The following is a 25,916-nucleotide window of genomic DNA, read 5'->3' on the forward strand; positions in this document are numbered from 1 at the left end:
TGGCTCTTTCCTTCGATTTACCCTGATGATGACAAGAAAAGGAGAAGGGGGGGAGGGAAGGGAGAGGGGGAGGGAAGGGATGGAAGGGAAGGGAGCGGGGGGAGGAGGAGGACGACCATGATCATCAGCCAATTGTGCTACGTCAGTCCAGAGTGAGCTGCTACTTATGATTTCATTTCCTCCTTAGACTGATGGGAGCAATGACAATCCCCATTTGTAGATGAGGCACCTGCTCAGAGAACTGAAGTTACTCATCCAGGGTCACATGGCTGTCAAGAGGCATGCCCAGTACCTATGACAAACATTCATCCCCAAGTAACGAAGCCAACAACCTGTGTCTCACTCCAGAACCACAGAGCTGTTACAACACGTGGTGCCTCCTGAGCCAGCAGCCAGGGGCAAGAACGAGAGGATGCAGGGAGAGGCTCTGGGGAAAGGGCTGTGTCCCCTCAGTCATGTGACCCCCAGGCTTTCTAGAGTGACTCATGGTGAGGACAGCAAAGATCTCAAAATGCTGTCTAGACCTTAACTCTGCCCATCACCCCATCCATTTGGTTTTGTTTCCCTTTCATTTGCATGTGTAGTCACATGCTCAGCATCCTTGGGGGCAGCTGCATCTGTGGTCCTCCAGAACCCCAAGCTTTGCAGTTGGACTTGAACCCCTCATGCGCTTTTGATTCCTGATTAAATAACCTGATTCGAGTTGTTGAGATCTTTAGTTTACATCAAATAATTCTTCTTTCTATTGCTCCATTCACTTCTGCACATTGCCTTAGGTACCGATTCATTTTCTCTACGACCCCCGCTGCTTACATGAGTTCTAAGATCATCCACAGGTGTGTGCCTGTCGGAGGGCTCGGAGAACACGGGACAGCAGGAAGCAGTCTTTTTTTTTTTTTTTTTTGAGATAGAGTCTCGCTCTGTTGCCCAGGCTGGAGTGCAGTGGCGCAATCTTGGCTCACTTCTACCTCTGCCTCCTGGGCCCCAGTTCAAGCAATTCTCCTTCCTCAGCCTCCCAAGTAGCTGGGATTACAGGCATGCACCACCATGCCCAAATAATTTTTGTATTTTTAGTAGAGACAGAGTTTCTCCATGTTGGCCAGGCTGGTCTTGAACTCCGGACCTTGTGATCCACCCGCCTCGGCCTCCCAAAGTGCTGGGGTTACAGGTGTGAGCCACCGCGCCCAGCCAGGATGCAATCTTATTGGTGTGTCACTTTTAGCCCAAGAAGCAAAAAAGTGGAGTGAGTAAGCTGGTAGGATCAACTGTTATTTTTATATTAAAACAAACATGTACCAGAATTATGGAGTAAAAATTATGCAAAATTTACAAGCATGTTAGAGATAAATCAGACCTTAAAGAAATTTAGTGCTAGTCAGAAGCTACATAAATGGTCAGGCATGTGGCTGCTGGTGCAATATTGTCCCTTTACGGCCAAGAGACCTCAGACAAGTTACTTAACCTCTCCCATCGAAAGCATCTCTCATGAAGATGCTGCTTCAGTCATAGGGTTGTCAGGAGGATATACCAAGTTAGTGCCTATGTGGACAGCTGTTTAGAAGCCTCAGAGCACCCTGTGAATGTGCTTTCAGACCTGCCCTGGATTCTTAGCTTCTACTAAGGACGAGCTACGGGTGTGACTGGGTTACGCTTGGCTCATTCTGGCCTCCCTGCCGCAACTTTTCCAAAGAGGCGATCTCTGAGCTCCTGGGAGCAAACCCATGAGGATACAGATGATTCGGCAACTTTGTGCCAGGCCCTCTCCAGGCTCTGGGGTTGTTTCTGTGAACAAATGCTCTGTCTCTGCACCCAGGGAGCTGGCATTCTAGTATGTGTGTGCAAGGCGGTGGGAGAGAGACATAAATGCATAATGTGTCAATGCAGTGAAAACAAAATACAGCAGATAAGGGGTACAAGGAAGGACAAAGGATGGGGTGTTCAAGTGGTCCCTGAAGGCTGCTGCAATAAGGCATTTGTTCAGAAAGAAGATAGTGAGAGCATACCATGAAGACATGTGACAGAGGACTATTCCAGGCAGAGGCAGCGGCAAGGCCAAAGGCCCTCAGTGGGATTGGAGAGGAACAAAAAGGTGACCGACGTGGCTGAAGCACACTCTGTGCGTATGGGGTTGGGGGGAATAGGAATAAGGGTTATGCTGGTTGGGGGACAGATTTGGAAGTGTGCAGGTCATAGTAAGAACTCTGGATTTTTTACTGAATGAAGTAGGAAGCAACACTGAGCCTTTCTAAGCTAACAGGGATGAGATAACTAAGTTACATTTTAAAGGAATTCACCTGGCTGCCACATGGAAAACAGCCTGGTGGAAGGAAGAAAGAGATGTGTTCTGCACATTTTGAAAGTGGAACAAAGAGGACCTGATGATGAACTGAGCTCCTGAAAGGAAGATGGAGTCAAGGGTGAGTTCACGACTTCTGGCACACACAACTCAAGGAAAAAGCGATGTGCCGTTTCCCAAAAGCAGGAGGCAAGGGCTGAGCAGGCTGGAGGGTGGAATCTGGTGCTGGACTTAGATGTAGCAAGCATAAGATGCCTATGAGACAGCCCACGGAATCCAAGCAGAAGTCTGGAGTGGGAGGGAGAGGTCTGGGCTAGGATATTCATTTGGGAATCATTATCGTGGAGATGGTTCTTAGAACCATGGGACCAGGAGAGGTCAGCCAGCGAATGAGTTGGGCTGGAGAGGGGAAGACGTCTGATTAACCTGACTTTGTTCTCTGGCAAAGGCACCAGGTTGAGAATTCAGAAACTCATATCCCTGGTTTCTTTTTAGCAAACACGAAGCATGGTGACCAAGCCATGTCATCACACTGGAACCGCAAAAAAGAGAAGAAAGGAAATGCGCTTCGTCTTCTGCGAGGACACATTGACGGTGCTCAGCTAGCCAGCATCTAGGTCCCACAGAGGGCAGGAGGGATCCGGAAACACTGAGGTCCCCTCCTGAGAGGCTCATGCCCTCACATACTTTCTTAATATAATCAAAATGGGAGTAAATGATGACAATATGCAACTTTCCAAATACTGAGGGTTCTGGACCAAGCTACTGAAACAGATTTCATAGTTGCTATGCTCCATACTCTGCCTAGCATACGGTAGTCATTTTATAAACATTTGACAAATAGTTATATTTCTAACAGAAACCAGAAATTTGGGGCCATGACTCCTTTACAGCTCAAGAAATATGCAAAATTAGTATTCCCTGAGAGACAGATGTCTGAAGGCCCCAAGCAGTCCAACCCTGTCCTGTCATAGCCTGAGACATCCTGCCTTAGGGAGTAAGTTATTACTAACTGTGGACAAGCTCTGTTTCCCTTTTGGAGGAACTGAGGGCAGAGATCCTGCCATTAATTCCTCCCCCAGTGCCTGGGATAGTGCCCTGTGCACAGCAAATGCCCAATACATCTAAATAAATGTCAAATGAATGAGCGAATAAATATTCATTAAAAATTAACCAAACAGTTAATTTAGGTCATTCAGTGGAAAAAAGAAAAACAGTGAAACTAGAAAAGCATCTTTTTAATTTAAAAGGTTAATTAAGGACAAGGTTTTAAAAAAATATTTTGGTGGATTTAGTAAACCAAGCACACCTGGGACTCAAAATAGTTGCAATCTGTAACTCTAAACACAGCCCATTATGTCCCACGAATTAGAAAATGAGGGAAAGTTGCCTGACTCGCTTCATGATTCTAGTATAATCTCAATTCTTCAACCAGATAGTGGACAAGAAAATAAAAAACCCCAAACACTTAAACACACAGATGTGAAAATCATGAATAAAATGCTAGTTAACTGAATTCAATGCTACATCTTATGTGTATTATAATCAGATATTGTTTATCCTAGAAATGCAAGGATGGTTTAACATCAGAAAAATGTATCAACATAATACATAACATATGGGTGGGCAAAATGAGGAAAATCACATGATTTTCTGAATAGATGCAGAACAGACATTTGGTAATTTCAGTAGCCCTAGGTCAGTCCAAATGATCTATTAGTCTGATCAATTTAATGATTTTATTAGATTCTCTAATTCCCAAAAGCATATTTCTTTTTACTATTTAAGCATTTTACAGCAATCTGTTTTAGATGTATAAGCAGGGCCCACGAGAGCTGTGAGGAACCAGGACTCGGATAATCCAGGGCGTTGGGAGACTTCCCCAAACCAGGAAATGATCCCATGCACCATCTGAGCCTTCCAGTCTTCCCACAGACTCTACCAAACATTATCGGGGCCACTAACAAAGAAGGAAGAAAAACTACTTTCAATGTTAGCTCTCCCTTTGACTCTTCTACTGAGGGATATGTGGGGGACCCATGTTTATGAATAATAACTTCCAGAAATAAAAATTCAGGAGAGACAAGCAATGCAGCACCTACAGAAACAAAAATAATCAGACCTAAATCCACAAGTTTATTAAAGTGACTTTTTATCATGATCTTTTTTTTTTTTTCCTGCAATGGAGTCTCACTCTATTGCCCAGGCTAGAGTACAGTGGAGTGATCTCGGCTCACTGCAACCTCCACCTCCCAGGTTCAAGCAATTCTCCAGCCTCAGCCTCCCAAGTAGCTGGGACTATAGGTGCACACAACCACACCCGGCTAATTTTTGTATTTTTAGTAGAGACGGGGTTTTACCATGTTGGCCAGGCGTATCTCAAACTCCTGACCTCAAGTGATCCACCCGCCTCGGCCTCTCAAAGTGCTGGGATTACAGGGGTGAGCCACAGCTCCCAGCCTATCACGATCTCTCTTAACACTGCCCTGACATAACTCATGGCTGTACCATCCAAAGACAGTATTTTGTGCTATGTCTGAAAACCTTCCAATCTGGCCTTAAAACAAATATTCAGCAACATAATAGAGTGATAATGTCAGAAAAGAGTATTGGCTCCCATATCCACAGTTGTTTTAATAGCATTTAAGACCAACATTTTATAAATATTATTAGAAATAATATTTATTTTTTATTAACATTAAAATTAATATAATAAAAATATAATTTTTCTCCTAGCTTTGCTTATGTTTGTGTTTTCATAAATAGTAGAGGGGAGAACTAATGATTAATCAATGGGCTGTGCATCACTTGGGAAGTTCCCTGTGTAAAAAGCTCTAAGTTAACATCTTTGCAAAACCATTAGGAAGAATTTCCCAATAATCCATTTAAACATATCAGATTAATGAGGAATTAAATGCATCTGCACTTATTCTTGGTGTGGATTTCAACTGTTTCTCAAAGCTGAACTGAGCCAGAGCCTGCTCAGCAGAAGAAAAATTGAGAAGGCTAATGGAGAGAGCCGTTAGCGTAGGATGCAATGGTTTGCAACTTGGTGGGCACACACGGTCTGAAGCCTCACCCTGCCCTGACGCCTGCATTCCTAATTCTGTGCATTCACATGTTGACTTAACACTGGTTTATTGAGCATTTACTATGTAACACTGTTCTAGAGACCGAGAAATACAGCAGTAGACCAAGTAGGCTTACGTTCTGGCAGGAGGAGTCAGACACTCAACAAATATGCAAATACAGACACAAATATTGGGTTGTGGGGTTAGAGAAGAAGTAGTGAGAGCTAAGGATGGTGGGGAGAAGCCCTCTCTGATAAGCTAACACGTGAGCAGAGACTTGAAGGAAGTGAGAGACTCGGGAAGCTACCTTGGCAAGGAACGATCCGGGCAGGGAGAAGAGTAAACACAAAGGATGGAGGTAGTAGCGTGTGCTTGACCTGAGGCCCAACGAGGAGGCCCAGACCACTGGATGAAGTGTGTGCACAGTGTGTGTATGTGTGTGTGCAGGTATTTGGGGGAGGAAGGGAGGCAATCACACAGGGCTTCCAGGGAGGTGAGGACTATGAATTTTCACTTAGCATAATATTTTCAAGATTCACCCATGCTGTCACACAAATTAATATTTTGTTCTTTTATATTGCTTGGATTCCTAGTTGTATTCTAGTAATTTGTTTATCCGTTCACCAAATGATGACTATTTATGTTGTTTCCAGTTTGGGGTTATTCAAATAAAGCTGCTATGAATATCTACATACAGTCTTTGTATGGACAAATGTTTTCATTTATCTTGGAAAGGCATCCATCTATCAACTGATTGACTGACTGATTGATCTGCTCACTATGTATCATCCAGTAATGCCATTCCTAGGGATTTACCCAAGATAAATTCCAGACTGTTTTCAAAAGTGGCTGTTATCATTCTGCATTCCCACCAGTAACACATGAGAGTTCCAGTTTCTCCACATTCTTGTCAACATTTGGTATTGTCAGTCTTTTTTAAGTTCAGCCCTACTAATGCATGTGAAGTGGTATCTTATCATAGTGTTAATTTGCATTTCTCTGAAGACTGGTGACACTGAGCATTTTCTCATGTGCCTTTAGGAATTTATAAATTTTCTTTGCTGAAGTGTCTTTTCAAATTTTTGCCTTTTAAAAAAATTGAGTTGTCTTAATATTGAGTCGTAAGGTTCTTTATATATTCTGGCTATATGTCCTTTGTCAGATATATGTCTTGCAAATATTTTCTCCCAGTCTGTGGCTTACCTTTTCCATTTTTAAACTGTGTTTTATAAAAAAAAGAAGTTTTTTTAGATCAAAGTCCATTTTAATCATTTTTTCTTTTATAGTTCATGCTTTTTGTGTCTCATTTAAGAAATCTTTCCCTACTCCAATGTCACAAATATATTCTCTGAGAAGCTTAACAGTTTTTGCAACTAAATTTAGGTCTATGATCCGTTTTGACTTAATTTTTCCATATGGTGTCATGTAACAGTTGAGATTTTTTTCCTATGCAGGCAGATATTCAATGGTTCAAGTACCATTTATTGAAATGGCTATCTTTTCTCCACTGAATGACCTTGGCACTTTTATCAAACATCAACTGGCCACACACAGGTGAGTCTACTTCTGGACACTTACCCTGTTCCATTCATCTGTATATCTCTATCCTTACACCAACACGCATAGTCTTGAATACTAGGGCAAGTTAATTTTAAGATGTCTCCTGGATATGTAAAAATTATATCTGAGTTGAACTACAGTTTATTTATATATCCAGGCAGCAAATAAATGTGAGAATCTGGAGGTGAGGGAAGAGATCAGAGATACCACCTTGGAAACCATCAATTTAGAGATGATTCTTAAGGCAGGGGACTAAGGGACACTCTGTAGGACACAGACATAGAGAAGGGAAGGGGCTGCGGCCTGAACACCCCACCTGCATGCTCACTCACATACTTTCGTCGGCCTGTGTTAACGAAGTGCTGGGTCTCCCCAGCCTCTCTCATCTGTAAGCAGTGCCAACAACGTCCAACACAGTTCCATCCAATTTGGATCTGCCAGATTTCCAAGGAGCCGAAAACTTGACCCTACAAATCAGAGTCCCGAATTCAGCCCAGAGGCTCAGAAAGTTGCTCCAGTTTTCTAAGCCTCAGTTCTCAAATTTGGAAAAATAGAAATTCAGTAACTAGCCAAAATCATAGGGTTGTTTGTGGACAACTAATAAGAATAAAATGTAAACATTTAGACACGCAAGCCCCGTGAGGAAAATCCAGCCGTCCCTCTTTCTAATCAGGGTGGTGTGAGTTTCCTATGACCCATTTCCACCATTTCCACATTTATGAACCGTGATCAACATTAGACACTGAAAACACAGGAAAACAACTTCTGGACAAATCACTGTGAGCTCAAATGACCCCGCAGACTCTGTGGCCAGCTTGACCCCACCACTCCATCATCAAAGAGGACCATGGTGAGAGCCTGAGGGATGAGGCACTACTTGTTGATGCTGGCAGGGATCAGCAGAAACATATGTTTTCATGCTGAAAACAGAAGACACAGATGTGGGCACACTTAGAATGCACTCCTGGCACACAGTGGGTACTCCGTAACTACTTGGTGAACAAAGAGACACAAAGAAACAGCAGTCATTTGAACAATCAGCTGAGAAAACAGAGACTCTGTGACCAAGCTCTCCATCAGGTATGGAACAGATGCAGTCACAGGAATGATAACAGTCACAAGGAAAGCTGAGGGTGGCTCCCTGCCGGTACCGCTCTTGGCAGTTTATGGGAAATTATTCATCCTATGGAGCAGCACTATTATTAACCCCGTTGTACCAGTGAGGAAACAGAGGCAGGAAGGTACTAGAATTACTCCCACTTCATAGGTTAAGGAAACTAAAACCCACCAAAATGGCAGGGCTGGGACTTGAACCTAGGTCATCAGGCTATGGGGTTCCACGGACTATGGCTCAGCTATAATACTACGCGATATTCTCTCCCATCTTCAGAATGTTTGCTTCACTTCAAGTAAAAGACAGTAACTAAAAATTCTCTTTCCATCATCTGTTACCTTAAAACAGCCTAACTCACAAAACTTCACAACGCAAGCCCAGGTATTATGGAACCCACCAAGAATAGCAAGTTCAGTGTTGGCTGCCATTTCTAAGTGGACAGTGTTAATTCCCTCCACTTAGTTGAGGGGCGGAGAGAGGTGTTGAAGGAAAGAGATGAGATGACAAGTCTGAAGTGGCTTCATCACAAAGCATCCATGGCTGTGATATGTAGCTGTGTCATCCATGGCAACATTCGCCTGAATGGAGATTGTATTATGGACATTGTTCTGGGATGCCTGAGGCTGATGACATGGGACATGCCGGAAATTTATGTATTTCCTACATAAATATGCAGCTGAACATATTTATGTAGGAAAATTAAAGACCAGACTGGTCAATCACTGGTAAGCCGTCAATGCCCCCTCAATGATTACCCTTGTCATTCGTGCCAGCCAAAACACACCCAGTTCACAATAGAGACGCAAGTAACTTTTCAACCTGCAACTGACCGCTAGAAATTGATTTTAGTAGTTGCCTCTATCCTGTGATATTTTAGAAATCAGGTTATCATGCATAATTAGCTCTCCAGCCCAAATCATCTGTGCCACATTCTATTATAACAATCGGAGAGGTTATGACAATCAAGAAAAGGAAAAAAACACAGGCATCTGTCTCATAGTTCAATTTTAACAGGAATAAAAATAATTTGAAAGAAAGAACAAATACATAGATCAAGGCCACATCTGCCATCTCATTGCAAGGCACATGCCCATCCTGTCTACAAAGCTTTTGGCATAGCATGTCTGGTGCACAGTAAGTACTTAATCAGTGGCAGTTCATCTTTTTATTATTATTAATGTTTCTAGCATGAATGGATCTCAGAGAGTCTATTAACTTTCCTTCCTAGTCAAGGGATGCACAAAAATTTAGCAAAACTTCAGATATTAATTTGCTTCACTGTGAGTAGTTATGTTCTATTTATAAAAATTGCAAACAGATTGATTTCCTTTCTTTTTTTTTTTTAAATTTTTTAATTTCTTTTATAGAGACAGTTATCTAACTATGTTGCCCAAGCTGGTCTCAAACTCCTGGTCTCAAGCAATCCTCATGCCTTGGCCTCCCAAAGTATTGGGACTACAGGTGTGAGCCACTGCATTCAGCATTGATCTTATTTTCATTTGCAATTTTAGCAGCAATATGATATATATAATATTCTTTAATAACAATATTCATAATGTATATGACATAAGGTATACAAGAATACAACTATTTTATACACTAACAGTAGCAAATAATATTCTCTTTCAAAATTGTGATTCATCGAGGCAGGCTAACATTAGCTGAAACAAGTCCAACTGCAGTGGCCCAAGTCCAGGGCTAGTCAGGCAGCTCTCCTCCAAGCAGTGACTGAGGGCCACAGGCCTCTTGCAACTTGGGATGCCGCCATTTTCCCACAAGGCCTCCAAGATTGCAGCATAAGGGGAAAGGGACAGTGGGAGAATCTCATGGGCCAGGCCTGGAAGAAGCGTACTTCATGTCCATCTGTCTGTTGGTTGTCCAGGCAACGCCAGCCCAACTGAAAGGGGACTATGCGCCCAGGAGAAAAATGAAATAGGGTTGGGAATCACTGTTTTCTGTGTCATAAACATTCTCTCCGTGGACAATTAACATCTGCCTTGTACTTTACAGATGTTTACACGGCACTTTTCACTATGTCTTATTTATTCATTCAGAAAATTTAGTCAATAAAAAAAGTTGAAAAGTTGCTATTGTTATTGCCATTTTCCAGGTGAAGAAACTGCGGCTTGGAGAAGTCATTTAGCATCCAAGCAGATGAGTGGCACAGCCAAGGCTTCATTCCCTGACCTCCGCATCCAAATCTCAAGCCCTTTCCACTTTTCTTTGCGTCGTACTGAACTTCAAGAAGAACAGAGATCCTGTGATAAAACAGATTTATGACAGAAGTAGGGTTACCTTTTCACTCCCAATGGGATCCAGTGTTGTGTAGTTCCATAAAAAAGGCACGATCCCCACACAATTCAACGGAACAGCCTGAGAGCAGGCTTTCACCAGTCCATAGTCATATATGAGCCAGTACAGGGAGTGTTTCAAAACTGAAATAGAAGTTAATATCCTGATAATCTCAAAATAAGACTTCTAATTCTTATTTTAGAGGTCAAAGAGATGGGTGTAGATATGGGTGAACATGATTAAATCAAAATTATGGATGTGAAGAAAAACTCTGGGCGATCAGGGTCCAGTTCCTAACCCTGTCCCCTTAACTAGACATGAAACCCATGTGGAATACTCATTGTCATGGTGACAACCGGGTGGATGGAGTTTGAAGACAGGTCAGAACACACTACTAGGTCCACAAAGCCCAAGGCGTCACTGAGCTGGGTGTGAAGTGGCTGTCTGGCACATCTTCTTCCATTGACAAGCCGGCCTTTGTGATGAGAAGGAGGCTCATGGCACAGTCTCAGCTGAGTCCACTCCTGCAGGCAGGCAGCAGGGAGGACAAAACGTCCCCAGCTTCCTTCTCCATGGTCTCTGCCTAGAGAGCATCAGTATTTCGATGTTCAGCATGGAATAGACTTCCATAACATTGAAAGCAGTGATCTTCTCTTTTCAAAACAAGGTGTTGTATGCAGTATTAAATCTGGATTCCAGAAACGCTCGCACAGGGCGACCTTGTGTGCAGAAGTTTATTGCCAAGGTTCCAGTTTATGCCCACGAGGCGCACAGCGAGGCTTCTGGAGGCAGCAGCTTGCTTTTGGCATTCCCTTACAGAGCTCAGAGCCCCGACAGGTTTTGGCTGTAAGAAGTATCCCGCAACTGATTTATTCCTCAATTTCAATTATTTTTTTCTCTACATGAATCATTTCCATGTTTCCAAAGCAGAAGTAGAAAGAAAGAAAAAAAAACTCATAAGGTGAAAAAAACTTCCAAAGTGTTTTGTTTTGTTTTGTTTGTTTTTTTATTGAAAAAAAAAAAAAGCCTGCAATACAGGAATGGATTTGCTATCAAACATCCATTTCAGGAAACCACCAGGTAGAATCGGGCAATTTGATGGGCAATTGGGTCTCAATTTCCCCATCAGGAACAACGTCTGTGCACACACACATACACACATTCACTCCCAAGCCATCCACCTCACCAGACCATGAGCTTTTAGGGAGACCGAATTCCAGCCAGGAAGGCAGTTTCCTTTTCACTGTACCAACATAATGCTTCATTACACCAAGACACAGCACTCTCCCATCTGCCAGGTCAATAAAGAATGAAGCTTAAAATTCACAGTCACCTTTACAATGCTAAGCATTTCAACCTTAAATGAATGTGCAGTCCACCAATCCGCTTCCCCGGCCTGCATCCAGCTCTTCCCGTAGCTGAGGCTCAAATGATCTTCCACGGGGTCCATTAGTTCCTCTTGGCTGGTCCCTGGGTTCAATGCAACGCTCCCAGCAGGTACGGTAACTGCCACTCATCTGAAACTCCCAAGTTACACTCTGCCTCACTGACAAGGGCATGGGGCGCTGCCTCCTATTCTGTTTTGTGGGTTCTTTGATCACCAGAAGGAATTTCGAGCCACTGTGCTAAGTAACTCGAATTACTCATAGGCTGGGATCCCAGAAGCCGCTGGGTTCCTCCATATACCATCAGAAGCTGAGCTTCTCCAGAGGACACTGAAGAGGCTGCTCAAGAACCCTACAGCAGGTTGTCCCAGAATTACCCACCATGACCTAGGTAGCTGACTAAATGCCACAGCCCACCTGAAGTTTCCCCAGGCAAACACCTGGAGTGTCTCATGACTAAGCAAGATGTCCTATGGAGCTAAAAATAACCCTCCTATCCCTTCCTCCTCCTGCCATCCCCATCTCTCTGACCCTCTGTGGTCCTCAAAGGGCATTTAAGATTTGAGTTTCCTGGCCAGAACGTGGGCAAGTGCTTGTATTTATTTGCTATTTACTAACTGCTGCCATAGTAGATGGCGTTTCTAAAACGGTATAAAACATCTACCAACAACATCAGGTTTTTGGTATTCTATATGTGACTGTTAAAATAAAAATGGACCTTGGCTACCTATAATGAATGAGCCAAGTAAAAGCACTCCAATCCTGGCGTCCAATTCTATCAGCTGATATTTGACACAGGGTTTGACAGTTGACAAACTGTCTCTCCATGGTTCCCTCTTAACAGCTCCATGAGGTGGCAGGGCCAGTACAATCATCCTTGTTTTGTATCTGAGCAAAGGACATTGTGGAGAGATTAAGCAAGGCTACAAAATCGGTGAAGGATTCCGACTTTCCACTACAGCAAGAGGTCTCAGTGCATGGCTAGCCCTAGGCGATGCCAGAAACATGACGACATAAGTAATACTTTTTTTAATAGCAAAGAAAGCAAGCCAGTAAGATGTCCAGCTTGGGAAATATGAAGTTGGCAAGGACAAAAGATGCCTCCAAATTTTAAAGAAAAAAAAATTTCTCTCTCGGTTAACCCTCACTACTCCATCAAGAGTAACAGCAGAGTCCAGGTATCCCCTGGAAGTGGGTCAGGTTCGGGTCTGCACTGTCTTCCTTGCTTCCAGGTACCTTCCTCCTCCCAGGCCGCACGGAGTCCCGGGCCCGGCTCCGGGCGCTGTGTTTACAGGCAGGGCGGCAGGAAGGACATGACCTCCCCAGCTCTGCGGCAGGTTAAGCAGCCTGATTGAACGTGGCTGCTAATTAAGGGCCCCTCTTGTCTGGCAGGGCCACCAGGGTACCTTCTGCACTTGTTCATGACCACTGCACCTCGCTCAGAAATTAACTCTTGATGAGTGCAGACAGGGGCCCAGCTGGTCCTCCCGAGTCCTCCCAAGTAGATAAATGAAGTGTAATAAGAATGCCGCTGACTGCCAAGGGAAGAGGGGCTCTCCGTGACCTCTTGGTAAAATCCAGAGTATACTTTTACTATGACTTAATTCTCTGCACTGGGGACACCTAACGTAGCCAGGAATGGTGTGAACAGACCACTAGCCACAGGGACAGCATAGAGGCGTCCATCACTAGACGTCCACTTCATGAAGTAGGAGTTAAAAGAATAAAGAGGTAATTTATGAGAAACTAATTTTCAATTGACAAATATTTTCAGGAGGTGTGATGACCTACTTTTCTCCATAACTCTTCATGGGCCCAGGGACAATGGTGGCTCCTATTACAGTTTGCAAATGGTACAATCATTCCGCTCAGGTTTAAAATATTAAATGCTCATCTTCTATCACTTACAGAGGGATTCTTTCCCTGAAGCTCTATTTAAGGAGAGGGAAATTGCGGCCGTCATTGTCCAGGCCTCCCACATACAGAAACTTGGTAGACAGACATGTTCTGGGTCACATGGCTAAGCTGTACTGACATGCTGCTCGAGTCCAGAGGTATCGCCATTGAGTTCAGCACAGTCAGGACCAGAGCCTTTTCCACCATTCATCTCAGGAAGCCAACACACACAGCTGGTAAGGGGGAGGGCTTGGAGCTAGGAGACTGGGAACTGTGTGTGGTCAGAAGCCACCTCACTGCCCTGGCCCACAGTGTGGTTCCCTGTGTGACATCATCTTTGAGATATGACAGAGACAAAAAGCAGGCTGAGAGTCCCTGCTCTGGACTCTAGATCACAATGAAGCCACATCTTTCTACAACTTTTGAAAGAAGCAGGTGAGGTTTCCGAAAAAAAAACCAAGTGAAATGAAAGGTGACGGTCAGTGTGCTATCTTTTGACCGCACAGCAAAAAAGTGGTTGCCGGGCTAGAAGCAAGATGGAAAGATGAAGAAATGGGCAGAAAAGGCATTTGGTGCCTTGATGAAAAATTTCAAAAATAAAAGGGTCCCATGGTGAAACTAGAGCAATTCCCAGAAGACTAAATGTGGGAGGAATGGGACGAGGTAGGGGAAGTCAGCAGAGACTCTAAGTTGTTTAAGAGAGCGTATTACTTATCTATTGCTGTGTAACAAATGAACGCAAAACTAAGCAGCCCGAGACAACTTAAGAAACCCACGATTTCCGTGTGCCTGGAGTCTGGGTTGGCTCAGCAGGATGCCTTTAGCTCAGGGTCTCTCACAAGGCTGCACTCAAGGTGTCAGCGGGCACTGTGGTCATCTCAAGGCTTGCCTGGGGGGGTGGCTCCGCCTCCACTTTGTCCCTTCCCAACCTCATCTGTAGTCTGCCACAGGCCTCGGTGCCCCAGTAGCTGCTAATCTTTTGCCATGGGGCTACTCATAGCACGTCAGCTTGCTTCCCTCAGAGCTGGGGGTAGGGAGAAGAGGAAAAGCAAGCAAGACAGAAGTCACCCAGAAGTGCAAAAAAGGAGTTGCCATCCCATTACTTTTGCCATATTTGATTTGTTAGAAGTGATCCAGTAGGTCCGACCCACCTGCAAGGGGAGAGGCTTACGCAAGAGCATGAAAACCTGAGGACAGAGACCACCAGGACCAACAAAGGCTGTGGACCACAGAGACACTCTTTATTCATGGAATAAACCTGGAGCCCGATTCTCCCAAGGCGAGCCTCCTGAAATGATAGAAGCTACGGAGGGAGGCCACATGCTAGGCCACATGTCAGCATTATTACTGTTCATCATTCATTCAGGGCCCACAAAAGCGAGAGCATCTCCATACGGGTGTGGATTTTAAAATCAGGAAAGCAGGCCAGATAGAATTCATGCTTAGGCACAGCTGCTCAGAACTGACCACCCTAAGGGGCCCACTGTTAATAACTCATCCTTTCTGATGATCCGCCCACTGCCTGGTGTGGCTGCTGCCACTGTTCAGCTCTGTCCCCTGCCCTGAGAAACATGTGCTGCCAGAGGTTCGTCCTCACAATAATAACCGCTAACACTGAGTGACAGCATGTGATGGTCAAGTACAGAGTCTGGCACTTTATGTTCATCACCGCGTTTCATCCTCACCACGACCCTGTTCTGTGGATCCGGCTGGACGCATCCAGAGGTGGGAGTCCCTGTGGTCTGGGCACTGATCAGTGCCTGAATGTTCTCAGGGACACTCCCCTTCATTAAAGCAGACAGTTAGACATTAACAGGTCTCATGACTCAATATATAACTGAATTGTTATATTATGGGCACATTGCACAACTGTTCACTTAGAAAATCTAAAAGAATCAGCTAAAAACTATTAGAAAAACTTAGTGAAGTGTATAAAATGAAACACTACCGTGCCACTTTAGGACTCTGGCAATAGCTAAAAAGTAAGTTTTGTGATAACTCATGTTCATTGTAGAAAATCTAGAAAATAAAAAAAAAAAAAAGTAAGACTAAGGCATTAAGTCACTCATGACTTTACCAAAAGACATTTTGGTATATTTTCTTTGATGCATTTTTCTATGTTACATGGGTGACTATATCATTGTATTTTAAAAAATTGTTGTCATACTACACTAGCTGAGCATCTTGCTTTTTTCACTTAATGTAACATTGGGAGCATTTTCCCATGCTCATGTTCTTCAAAAACCCAAGGTTAAATGGTTACTGAATAGCTCATCATATTATTACAACCTAATTTTAAAAAACTATTTCCTTTTACTCATTTAGTCAAAAAAATCAAATTTTTTTCCTCTGTTCCCCATTTCCTGTCTTTAAAAAATTATTTGAATATCCATTTCAGTTCTTCTATTGGCTTAACACATATTTATTTACATTTTTAAGTTGGCTGCAAGTTAGAAATATAAGTTTTCACAGTCTGCCTACAGTCAGTACTGTACAACCTCTATAATAAAGAACTCTTCTCACCATCGAGGTCCGTATCTACCCCTGGTCTTTACCTTACAGCTGTTACATGTATCTCATCTATAGATGTTATAAGCCTCGCAAGACAGTGTTATAATTTTTGCTTAAAATTCTTATATGATTAACAATGAAATTAAGAAGAAAAAAGCAGAAAGAAAACTAGTATTTTGTGTTGATCCAAATATTTACCAGTCCAGTAGTCTTTACTCTTTTCCAAGGACCTGAGTTCCCAACTGGTATTATTTCCCTTTAACTGAAAGAAGTTCCTGCAGCATTTCTTACAGTGCAGGTCTGCTGGTGATAAATTCTTTTTTCTTTTATCGAAAAATGCCTTTATTTCCCTTCAATCTTAGAAGGATATTTCTACAAGATATAAAATTCTGGGTTAGGGCAGGCGTGGTGGCTCACACCTGTAATCCCAGCACTTTGGGAGGCTGAGGCAAGCGGATCACTTGAGGGCAGGAGCTCAAGACTAGCTTGGACCACATGGTGAGACCCTGTCTCTACTAAAAAGACAAAAAATAGCTGGGTGTGGTGGTTCGCACCTGTAGTCCCAGCTACTCAGGAGGCTGAGGCAGGAGAACTGCTCAAACCCAGGAGGCAGAGATTGCAGTGAGCCGACATCATGCCACTGCACTCCAACCTGGGCAACAGAGCGAGACCTCAACTTAAAAAAAAAAAAATTCTGGGTTAGAATTTTCTGATTCTCTTTCAGTACCTTGAAAATGTTATTCCATGCCGTTCTGGTCTGCAAGGTTTCCAGTGAGAAGTCAGCCATTAACTGGATTATTACTGTATGGCTTTTCTCTTGTTGCTTTCAAGATTTGCTCTTCAACTTTGGTTTTCAAAAGTTTGCAAGAACCAGCGTGGGATTTTTAAATATTTATTCTTATTGGTGTTTCTTGAGCATATGATCTTATATCTGTAAATTTCTACTTGTCACTGAATTCTGAAATTTTTTAGCTATTATTTCTTCTACTATTTTTTTCTGCTCCATTTTCTCTTTTTCCTCTGTCATTTTCCCCCTCTCTGCCTTCAGCTGTTAAGTCCACTCAGTAAATTTTTATTTGAGATAACTATTTTCAGTTCTAGAATTTCCATTTGGTTCTTCTTTTTATCATTCTATTTCTCTGCTGAGCTATCTTATCTTTTCATTCATAGTGAGCATATATCATGTTATTTCATTTAGGATAGTTTTGTTTTGCTTTGCTTTGAGACAAGGTCTTACTCTGTCACCCAGGCTGGAGTGCAGTGGTGTGATCATGGCTCACTGCAGCCATGACCTCCTGGGCCCAAGCAATCCTCCCACCTGAGCCTCCCCAGTAGCTGGGACTACAAGGGCACACTACCATGCCCAGCTAATTTTTGTATTTTTTGTAGACATGGGGTTTCCCTGTGTTGCCCAGGCTGGTCTCAGACTCTGAGGTGGGCTCAAGCAATATGCCCACCCCAGCTTCCCAAAGTGTCGGGATTACAGGCGTGAGCCGTGGCACCCAGCCATTTAGTATAGTTATAACAGCCACTGGAAAACCTTGTGTGACTCTCCATATCTGCTTCCCCTTGGGGTTGAACTTCATTTGATTTCTCTTTTTCTTGATTTGAGACAGTATTCTATTTCCTTGGTTCTTCAAATGTTGGTTATTTTAGCTTTGTATCCCAGATGTGAGGAAGGTTAAACTGTAGAGGTTTGGGATTTTGCGATTTTTCTTGGATGACTGTTAGTTCTTTTGGTTGGCAATTAGCTGAACCTGAACTGCAAACTCTGACCCTTTCGGCAGCAAGCACAGATTTTTTTGTCATTATTGTGATCTGAGTCTATTCTATGCATGTATGGTTCAGCGATCAAAGATGTATATAAACAGAATTTGGGGATCCCCTCTCCAGCCCTTTTCTTCTAGGAGTCCCTCTCACTGCACCACCTGCCCTTGGCCCTGAGCTTACTTGGTGCAGCTCAAGAGTGCAGCTCAAGACCCACCTTGTCCCAACGAGGTTCTCCCACCATAAACTTGCCTGCTTCTGCTCACTCTCAATGGCTTCAGGCAGCTGCTTTCTGAATTATACCCAGTTTTCATAGTTATTTTCTGTATGTGGGGGTGGGAGGGATGGAGGTGGGAGGATCTGTCTGGTAAGATCTTGATCTGCCATTCTCAGAAGAAGAAGTTCCCAGACCTTTGTATCTAAATACCATTCCCCACTAAAAGGAACCAGAGTTCCTTCTAAAAATGTAGAAAGTAAAATATAAAAACAGCTCATTCCAGAGCTGGGTACAAGGTTACGCCTGGAATACCTTATTATGCCAGAGAGTGAGGAAGTGATCAAAGATCCAAGAGGCCCTGTCAAAAGGAGATGGGAGCCTACTTTTCAAACCAAATCTGGGATAATTTGAGCAAAGAGAATAAGGATCATAATTAATAATAAAATTCTGAAGAAAAGAGAGACTTAATAGTCCACAGTGCTGATTGAGAGGAAAAGGAAGAGAAGCATATTACTCATTTAATTGGCAGATAAAACTGAATGTATTTGTCATGTACAACACGTTTTGAAGTACCTACACATTATGAAATTACTAAATCTAGCTAATTAACATATGTATTACCTCACACTGTTACCATTTGTTACATTTTTAACTGATGACGTATCTCTCATTTATTGGACTGATAACGTATCTATTCCTCATTCACTGGATTCTACCCAGAAACAGCACACTTTCACCCTTTCATGGTACAGCTGCCATGCTCTTCACAATGTTATTATTCTAGACTATTACAGTACAAGCTAGCAGTGACCTATTTATCTTTTAGGATCATGAACAATATATATCACTTCATTTCTAGAAACTGATCTTCAAAAACTATAACCTACTGCAGGACAGGTGAGGCCAGGGAGGCGGACACCTCTGCCTCCAGGAGGCTACTCTGTGCCTCAAGAACCAAAGAACGAGGGGAGTTCGACCACTGCCTGTACAGAGCCCGAATGCCCTCCCTGCTGCTGTTCTAATGCATGTCCCATCTGCAATGTTAGAAAACAAGCTTCAGCTTGATACAGTGGAACTTGGCAGATGGCACAGTTTGCTTGTTACAGAACTAAGTATGAAAATAAATTCATTTAGTAGTGCTCCTTGGAGAAATGTGGTTCAGAAGTCAAATAATTTTAAAAGACCTCTTTCCCATGTAAGACACCCATGAAACAATGCTCTGGTCATAATTAGTCTCTAACCTTTCAAAATGCCTGCTTCAGTGACCTCACCTGCTATTGAACACGATGCCTGCAGATGGTGTGAGGTGGCCAAAGGGTGGAGGACTGGCAGCGGGGGCTGCAGCGGCTGCTGTGACCAGCCACTCACTTGCTGAAGGATCAGGGAGAGACACTGTGTCTCTCTGGGTCTCGGCTTCTTAACCTGTGAAACCCAGGGGTTGGGGAAAAGCTCGCCAAGCCCCCCTCCTGCTTTGGCATCCTGTGAGTCTTTATTGTCCTGGGCTAGCTGGGACCCCTAGGACACTGGGTGGCTCCTTCCACCCCACATGATCATTCTGCTCAACAAGAACTTGCAGGAGCCACAGACCTGCCTCACAAACATGAGGAAGCGCATCCTTCTACAAAGCGAGAGGCTTGAGGTGTGTGTATAGCCAGGTCAAGGTGAAAGCTACTGAGGTTTTGCGGAATCAACTCTGTATCAAATCTTCTCTCTCTATCCTTCTCAGAGTCTGATCAAACTGGGAGGTAACAGATTCTCAACAAATCTCAAGGAGAGGGAGGAAAATATCTACCTACTATGGAATTATCTGTAATTTTTCTAACACACAGAGTATGTTAGCTAAAGCTTTAATGCCCCCTATCCTTTCTGTCACTTACGGTACGCTTTATCCTTTGATTTTTGATCAACTGTTAGTCGCAGAATGAATATGCCTAAATTATCACTGAAATCTAGCAAATTATGTCTTAGAATGTTAGTTTTAAAAATAAGTTTGAAAATCATTTTTATGAGTCTTTGTAAGCTCAAAAATATAGCTCTCATTATTTTGACTTAGTTTGTTTAAATTGCTAAGAAAATTATTTCCTCAAAAAACAGACACTGTACTCTTCACCAAATTTAGTATGTTGAAAACTGAAAATAAGAAATTACATATGAAAGAGCAAGCCAGAGACAACATACCAATATACAGAAAAAATAGAGGAAAAAAATACTAAATTTTTCACCTCTGACTTTTCCTCCTTTTAAAAAGAAAAAAATCAGGGCTGGCGCGGTGGCTCCCACCTGTAATCCCAGCACTTTGGGAGGCCGAGGTGCGAGGATGGCTTGAGTCCAGGATTTCAAGACCAACCTGGGCAACAAAGTGAGACCCTGCCTCTATTAAAAATAAAAAAATTAGCCGGGCATGGTGCTACATGCCTATGGTCCCAGCTACTTGGGAAGCTGAGGTGGAAGGATTGCCTGAGCCTAGGAGTTCAAGGTTGCAGTGAGCTGTGATCATGCCACTACACTTCATCCTGAGCAACAGAGCGAGATTCTGTCTCAAAAAGAGAAGAAAAGAAAAGATCTACCAGAAGCCTTGGGTCCCTGTTTTCTGGCAATATGCTATGCATATTTGCAAATATGTAAACTGCATGGATAATTTTGCTGTAACGAGGAATGTCACTTTACCAGACTACAACTTTAATCAGCATTCCTCTGAACAAACTTGCTCATGATACTAAGCAACGCAAACATGCAGCCAAACAACTGGTGTTTTAATATTCTAGCTTCTATTTCTTCCACGTCATAATTTCCTGTAATAATCTCACTCATGCCTGAACTCCACAGACATTCTTATTTATGTTTTTCAGGTCAGTATGCCAATAGCAAGAAGACTTGTTCTTGAAAGGTTGAGTTTTTCAAATGAGTCCTGAAAGAATTCTACCACACTGCCTATTTCCCAAGCAGGGATCATGGGAGAAAGGAAATTTTGAAGAAAATGGTTCTAATGCCATTTTGTTAAAAGTACTGAGAGATTTACAATGATCAAGTAATATGCCAGTTCTTTCAAAGGATGCCAACATCTGATGCCAACATAATTACAAGTTGGAAAAATGTGTAATGAATCAGGCGGCTCATAATTTCCCTTAGAATATGTATGCACAACTTATTAAATGACATAAAAAGCAAAGAGTCACGGCAAATGTTGAAACCTTAAATCTGAGTTTCATTGCTTTGGGGCATTTTCGTCAAACTCCATCATCTGGAAGTACCTAACAATAAGAAATATTAGGTCACAAGCTGTTTTAGAAACACCTGTAATACCTTCACCTAATGAGGCCAATAAACGAGAGCTTCGTGTTCCTCATCAAATAAGAAAACTTAATAGTCAAATCTGACATAATAAGCCCAAACTCAAACCCTGTAGAAATGGAAACACTCACATGGAGAGCATTTTCTCCTCCAAATTTTCGATTCTGCCAGGTCCCTCCCCTAAAGCCACCTGGTGGAAAAATGTGCCCCCAGTGCTAGGTCAGTGTGGGTTTCCCAGAGTAGGGCTTAATTCATGTGGTGGTCTTTGGAGGCTCAGAAAGAATAGAATAGAGTTTTCTCTTGATGGTCACTGTCCTCACCTCCTCCTGCTCTCCCCCAAACACACTACAACCTAGGTAAGGAGAAAGACCCTACTGACATCTTATTCAAAACCCCCAATCCCACCCCTTTCAAGGTACTTGCCAGGGAGGTAAATGGTGGACTCTGCAGGTTTCCTCCTCCAAAATCATTTGTATACTTTGTCTATGGTCACTGTCTCCCCAAAAGGGCTATACTATCATTTTCTTCCAACTAGGGCTGTCAGATTTCACAAAGAAAAATACAGAATGCCCATTTAAATGTGAATTTCAGATAAACAACAGATAATTTCTTAGTATGTCTCAAATCATGCATGGGATATACTTACACTAAAAAGCTATCTGTTGTTTATCTGAAACTCAAAATGAACAGGGCATCCCGGATTTTATCTGGCAAATTTATGCAAAACATTCATAATATGGGGAATGAGAAATTAACACAGTTACCTCTTTCTGGTAGTCCAGGAAGTAGAGAAAAGGCAGCTCTAAGAAGGGGTAGAGGTGAGAAAAGGGAAAATGTAAAGAGAAAATAAAGCCTTCCTTATTTTGGTAGAATTCCATGTGGTCCTTTACAAACTTTAACGTGCATACAAATCACCCAGGGACATTGTTAATTTAACATGTGGGTTCTGATTGGATAGGGTCGTGGAGTCTGGAATTCTCCATTTCTAATCCCTCTCCAGGCAATGCTGATACTGCTGGTTCAAAATTCGTTTCACTGGTAACAGAATTCCAGCCTCCTTTATTCCAGGAATTGCATGGGGTCAAAGGCAAGAAGACCCGGTGCAATGGGTGGAGAAGCAGGTGGAGGAGTGGGGGCCCTGTGAGGGCCAGGGAAGGCCATGTGAGTGTGTGGATGTGTGGCTGAGGGAAAGGAGGCCAGGGATCAATGAAGCTTTGCTTTTTTTTTTTTTTTTTTTGATGGAGTCTCACTCTGTCACCCAGGCTGGGATGCAGTGGTGCAATCTCGGCTCTCTGCAACCTCCGCCTCCTGGGTTCAAGCAATTCTCCTGCTTCAGGCTCCTGAGTAGCTGGGATTACAGGCATATGCCACCACATCCCACTAATTTTTTTGTATTTTTAGTAGAGACGGGGTTTCACCATGTTGGTCATGCTGGTCTCGAACTCCAGACCTCAAATGATCCACCTGCCTTGGCCCCCCAAAGTGCTGGGATTGCAGGCGTGAGCCACTGCACCTGGCCTCAATGAAGCTTTTCTAACAGTGAAGGTGAAATACAAAGATTTGGTCTCTTCTGAGGTTTCTTCTAATTCTGCACTGTGAGAAATAACCACTACTGTCATCCACACTAAGACATGAGTTTTGAGCAACAATAGCAACAACAAAAAATGCACACACAGCAAAAGCAGCAAACAGTTTTAGACATTCATGCTTCTCATATTATTACTGAGAAACAGAGCAGTACGCTTAAGAATCCAACACAAATGCCTTGTCACATTTGGACAAATGAGTAAAGACGGGGGATAGGTTGTGTAGAATTCATCAAATTGGTGCCCCTAAAAAGTGAATTGAGATTTCGGGACCTGGCCATGGTTTGACCCTTAGTGATGTGTGTACCTATATACACACCAAAACAGGCACTCGCTTCACTTTCCAAAAGTTATCTGGAGAAAAGTTGTTCTAGTTCAGAGTGTTTACATAGACCAAGGATGGTCAACTGAGACTCCAGGGCAAATACATGAGATTTTTACCGGTTCCTGGATACCTTTGACTCAAGACAGAAAAAAAGTCATTAGGAAAATGGTAATTATTCTTGTCATTCATAGAAGCCTACAATTCTCCCACCCAGGAAATTCCACTACTCAATTAATTGATTACATGGAATAGGATGCCTCCACTAGTCATCTAGTCAAATGTGGACACTGGTCTGGGTTTTAACTTGTGGGAAACTGTTTTTCTTTAACTCAGGGGACTCTAAAGTACAATGGCTAAGAGTACCAGAGTCAGACTACTTGTGCTGAATTCTGGCTCCAACACTGTCTCCCTGGGTTCCATACTACTCTTAGCCTCAGTTTTTACATCCATAAAAAGGGATCAATAAAAGAATGTCTGACTGGGGCAACATAGTGAGACCCCATCTCTATAAAAAATTTTAAAAATTAGCCAGGCCAGACATGGTGCATGCCTGTAGTCCCAGCTCCTCAGGAGGCTGGGGTGGGAGGATCACTTGAGCCTGGGAGGTCAAGGCTGCAGTGAGCTGTGATCACACCACTGCACTCCAGCCTGGGTGACAAAGGAAGACCCTATCTCAAAAAAAAAAAAAATGTGACTGTCACTAGGCTGCTGTAGGGGATAAACTTAATAACGTATGTCTAGGAAATACACAGGAGGAGTTCAGTAACGTTGCCTGTTAATACCTTGTCACTGTAGTTACTGTTTCTTTGCTACTTTGCATGAAGCTCTGAATTGCTCAGTGTTACCCTGAAGCTGGGGACTAACCATCCTTCTCTGGATTGCCTTCTGCCACTCAGCCATTCTAGTAATCAAGCTAAGCCTCTACTGAGGTCCCAGGACACACAGTTGTATGGGTAAGCCAATGCAGCCAATGAAATGTGTTGTAGATATAGAAAATGAGCTATCGGAAACGCTGACTTCAGGAAGTGGAGATACATGGCACAGCTCCAAAGGCAAGAAGCTCATAGCCACCACGAATCTAGTAAGTCCTCCCTGCTTCTTGCCTTACATCCACAGGTGTGAGGGAAATTGGTGGTAAAAATTTCCTTTCCCATGACTCGTAAGCTTCTGAGAAAAGCCTTGTGATGATATACTAAGTACTTCAGCAAAGGATCAGAGGAGTCAGCTGTGAGCACTGCTCAGATCCCAGTAAGACTTTCAGTGGCCAAGATTAAAGCTGGCTTCCCTCTGCCACGCCAAGCAACCCAGCCTGGCTACAGTACAGCAGGCTGCTGCAGGAACTTTTCAGAGCGAAGAGTAAGCGTTCGATGAAGATGTAGACTCGATTAGAGTGGAAGATGGAAGCAGCAGATAACGGATGCATTACATACCATACTCTTTTCAAAATGAAAAAGCAACTAACATGCAATCCTTCAATATAAAGGTAGATTATAAACATCGGTATTTTTTCTTTTTACTCGCACTTGGAATTACTTTGGTTGTAACCATTTACGTCTTTGCTCAGTCTGGATTTAATCGGTTTCTCTGTTCTTCCCTGTAAAACTGAGTCTTTCCACCAAATGACCCTGCATTCACCTTAATTTGATTTTCTGGGTTTTCGTCTTTTAAAAGTCATCACAGATCTTATGCCATAGTTGTGATCAGTTCTCCAACATTTGTCTGACTATGGCTCAAGATTAAAAAACATTTTCTTCTAAGATGTGAGATCTCCTAATTCTCCAACACTCACCTATCCTCCACCCACCGGCATTTCTCTCCCTCACCCTGCTCCTCCGCCTGCTTCTTCACCCACTGCACTGGGGCTTCTTGCCTTTGACATCATGCAATTCCTGGAATAAAGGAGACTGGAGTTCTGTTACCAGTGAAACGAACTTTACGTTAGAGACATCCAAACTGTGTGGATTTGGTATAAGCTTCTTTCAAAAAGTACTACTCCATTATTGGGAATGTTTATGCCTAAAAAAGAAGATTCTGTGTTCTATTGTGTCAGACGCTTTCAAAGTGCAATTGTTCAATTTGCAAACTGCAATTGGTTAACCAAGCTAAACTTAATTAGTCCAACGATCCTACACATCAAACCCTACTGTTTGATGTATTCTGCGAGATGTCCAAGCCGCCTACAGCTGGCTAAGGGTCACAATGAAAAGGCAGCCAGGCTTAGGTCTGGGAACTGAAATGAGCTGTTCTAAGTGGAGCTTTTCTTCCATTTTCTGAGGCTGCACTGCTCTGACCTTCTCCAAATCAATCCTTTGCGGATTAACATGTAAAGCAGTGTCGAATTAATTTCAGAAAGGGAATATGAGATCAGCCTAGGATCATACAAAACATCTAACTCCTAAATACACTAATGCTTCTAGCCATTCAATGAGAAGCTGTCAATAAAGGGAAAAAAGTCGGTGAGGGGGGCGGCCAGAAGGATTTGAAGGTTGGAGCAATCTATCAGACTAGTTAGCACATTGCCTACTTCTGTGGCATGGCTAATGCATTCCTCTAGAAGTTAATCCTATTTCTAAAGACCCTCCCGCGAGGAGCACATAGGCCGTGA

At 43.0% G+C, this 25,916-nt stretch overlaps 1 protein-coding gene and 1 long non-coding RNA gene across 15 annotated transcripts in view; one reads left to right on the forward strand and one right to left on the reverse strand.

Moving 5' to 3' along the window:
- The window catches only part of LOC105369305 (uncharacterized), a 35,810-nt gene extending 14,523 nt beyond the window's left edge, over positions 1-21,287 (forward strand). The window contains exons 1-2 of the long non-coding RNA XR_937700.3: positions 1-19,748; positions 20,959-21,287. The exon at positions 1-19,748 is cut by the window's left edge and continues 14,523 nt beyond it. This is a non-coding gene — a long non-coding RNA (uncharacterized LOC105369305). The remainder of the gene's footprint in view (positions 19,749-20,958) is intronic.
- The window catches only part of HLCS (holocarboxylase synthetase), a 241,587-nt gene that overhangs the window by 43,785 nt on the left and 171,886 nt on the right, over positions 1-25,916 (reverse strand). The window lies entirely within an intron of this gene.

This window comes from Homo sapiens, chromosome 21, assembly GCF_000001405.40.
Source record: "Homo sapiens chromosome 21, GRCh38.p14 Primary Assembly".
In the NCBI taxonomy this organism is placed as follows: domain Eukaryota; kingdom Metazoa; phylum Chordata; class Mammalia; order Primates; family Hominidae; genus Homo; species Homo sapiens.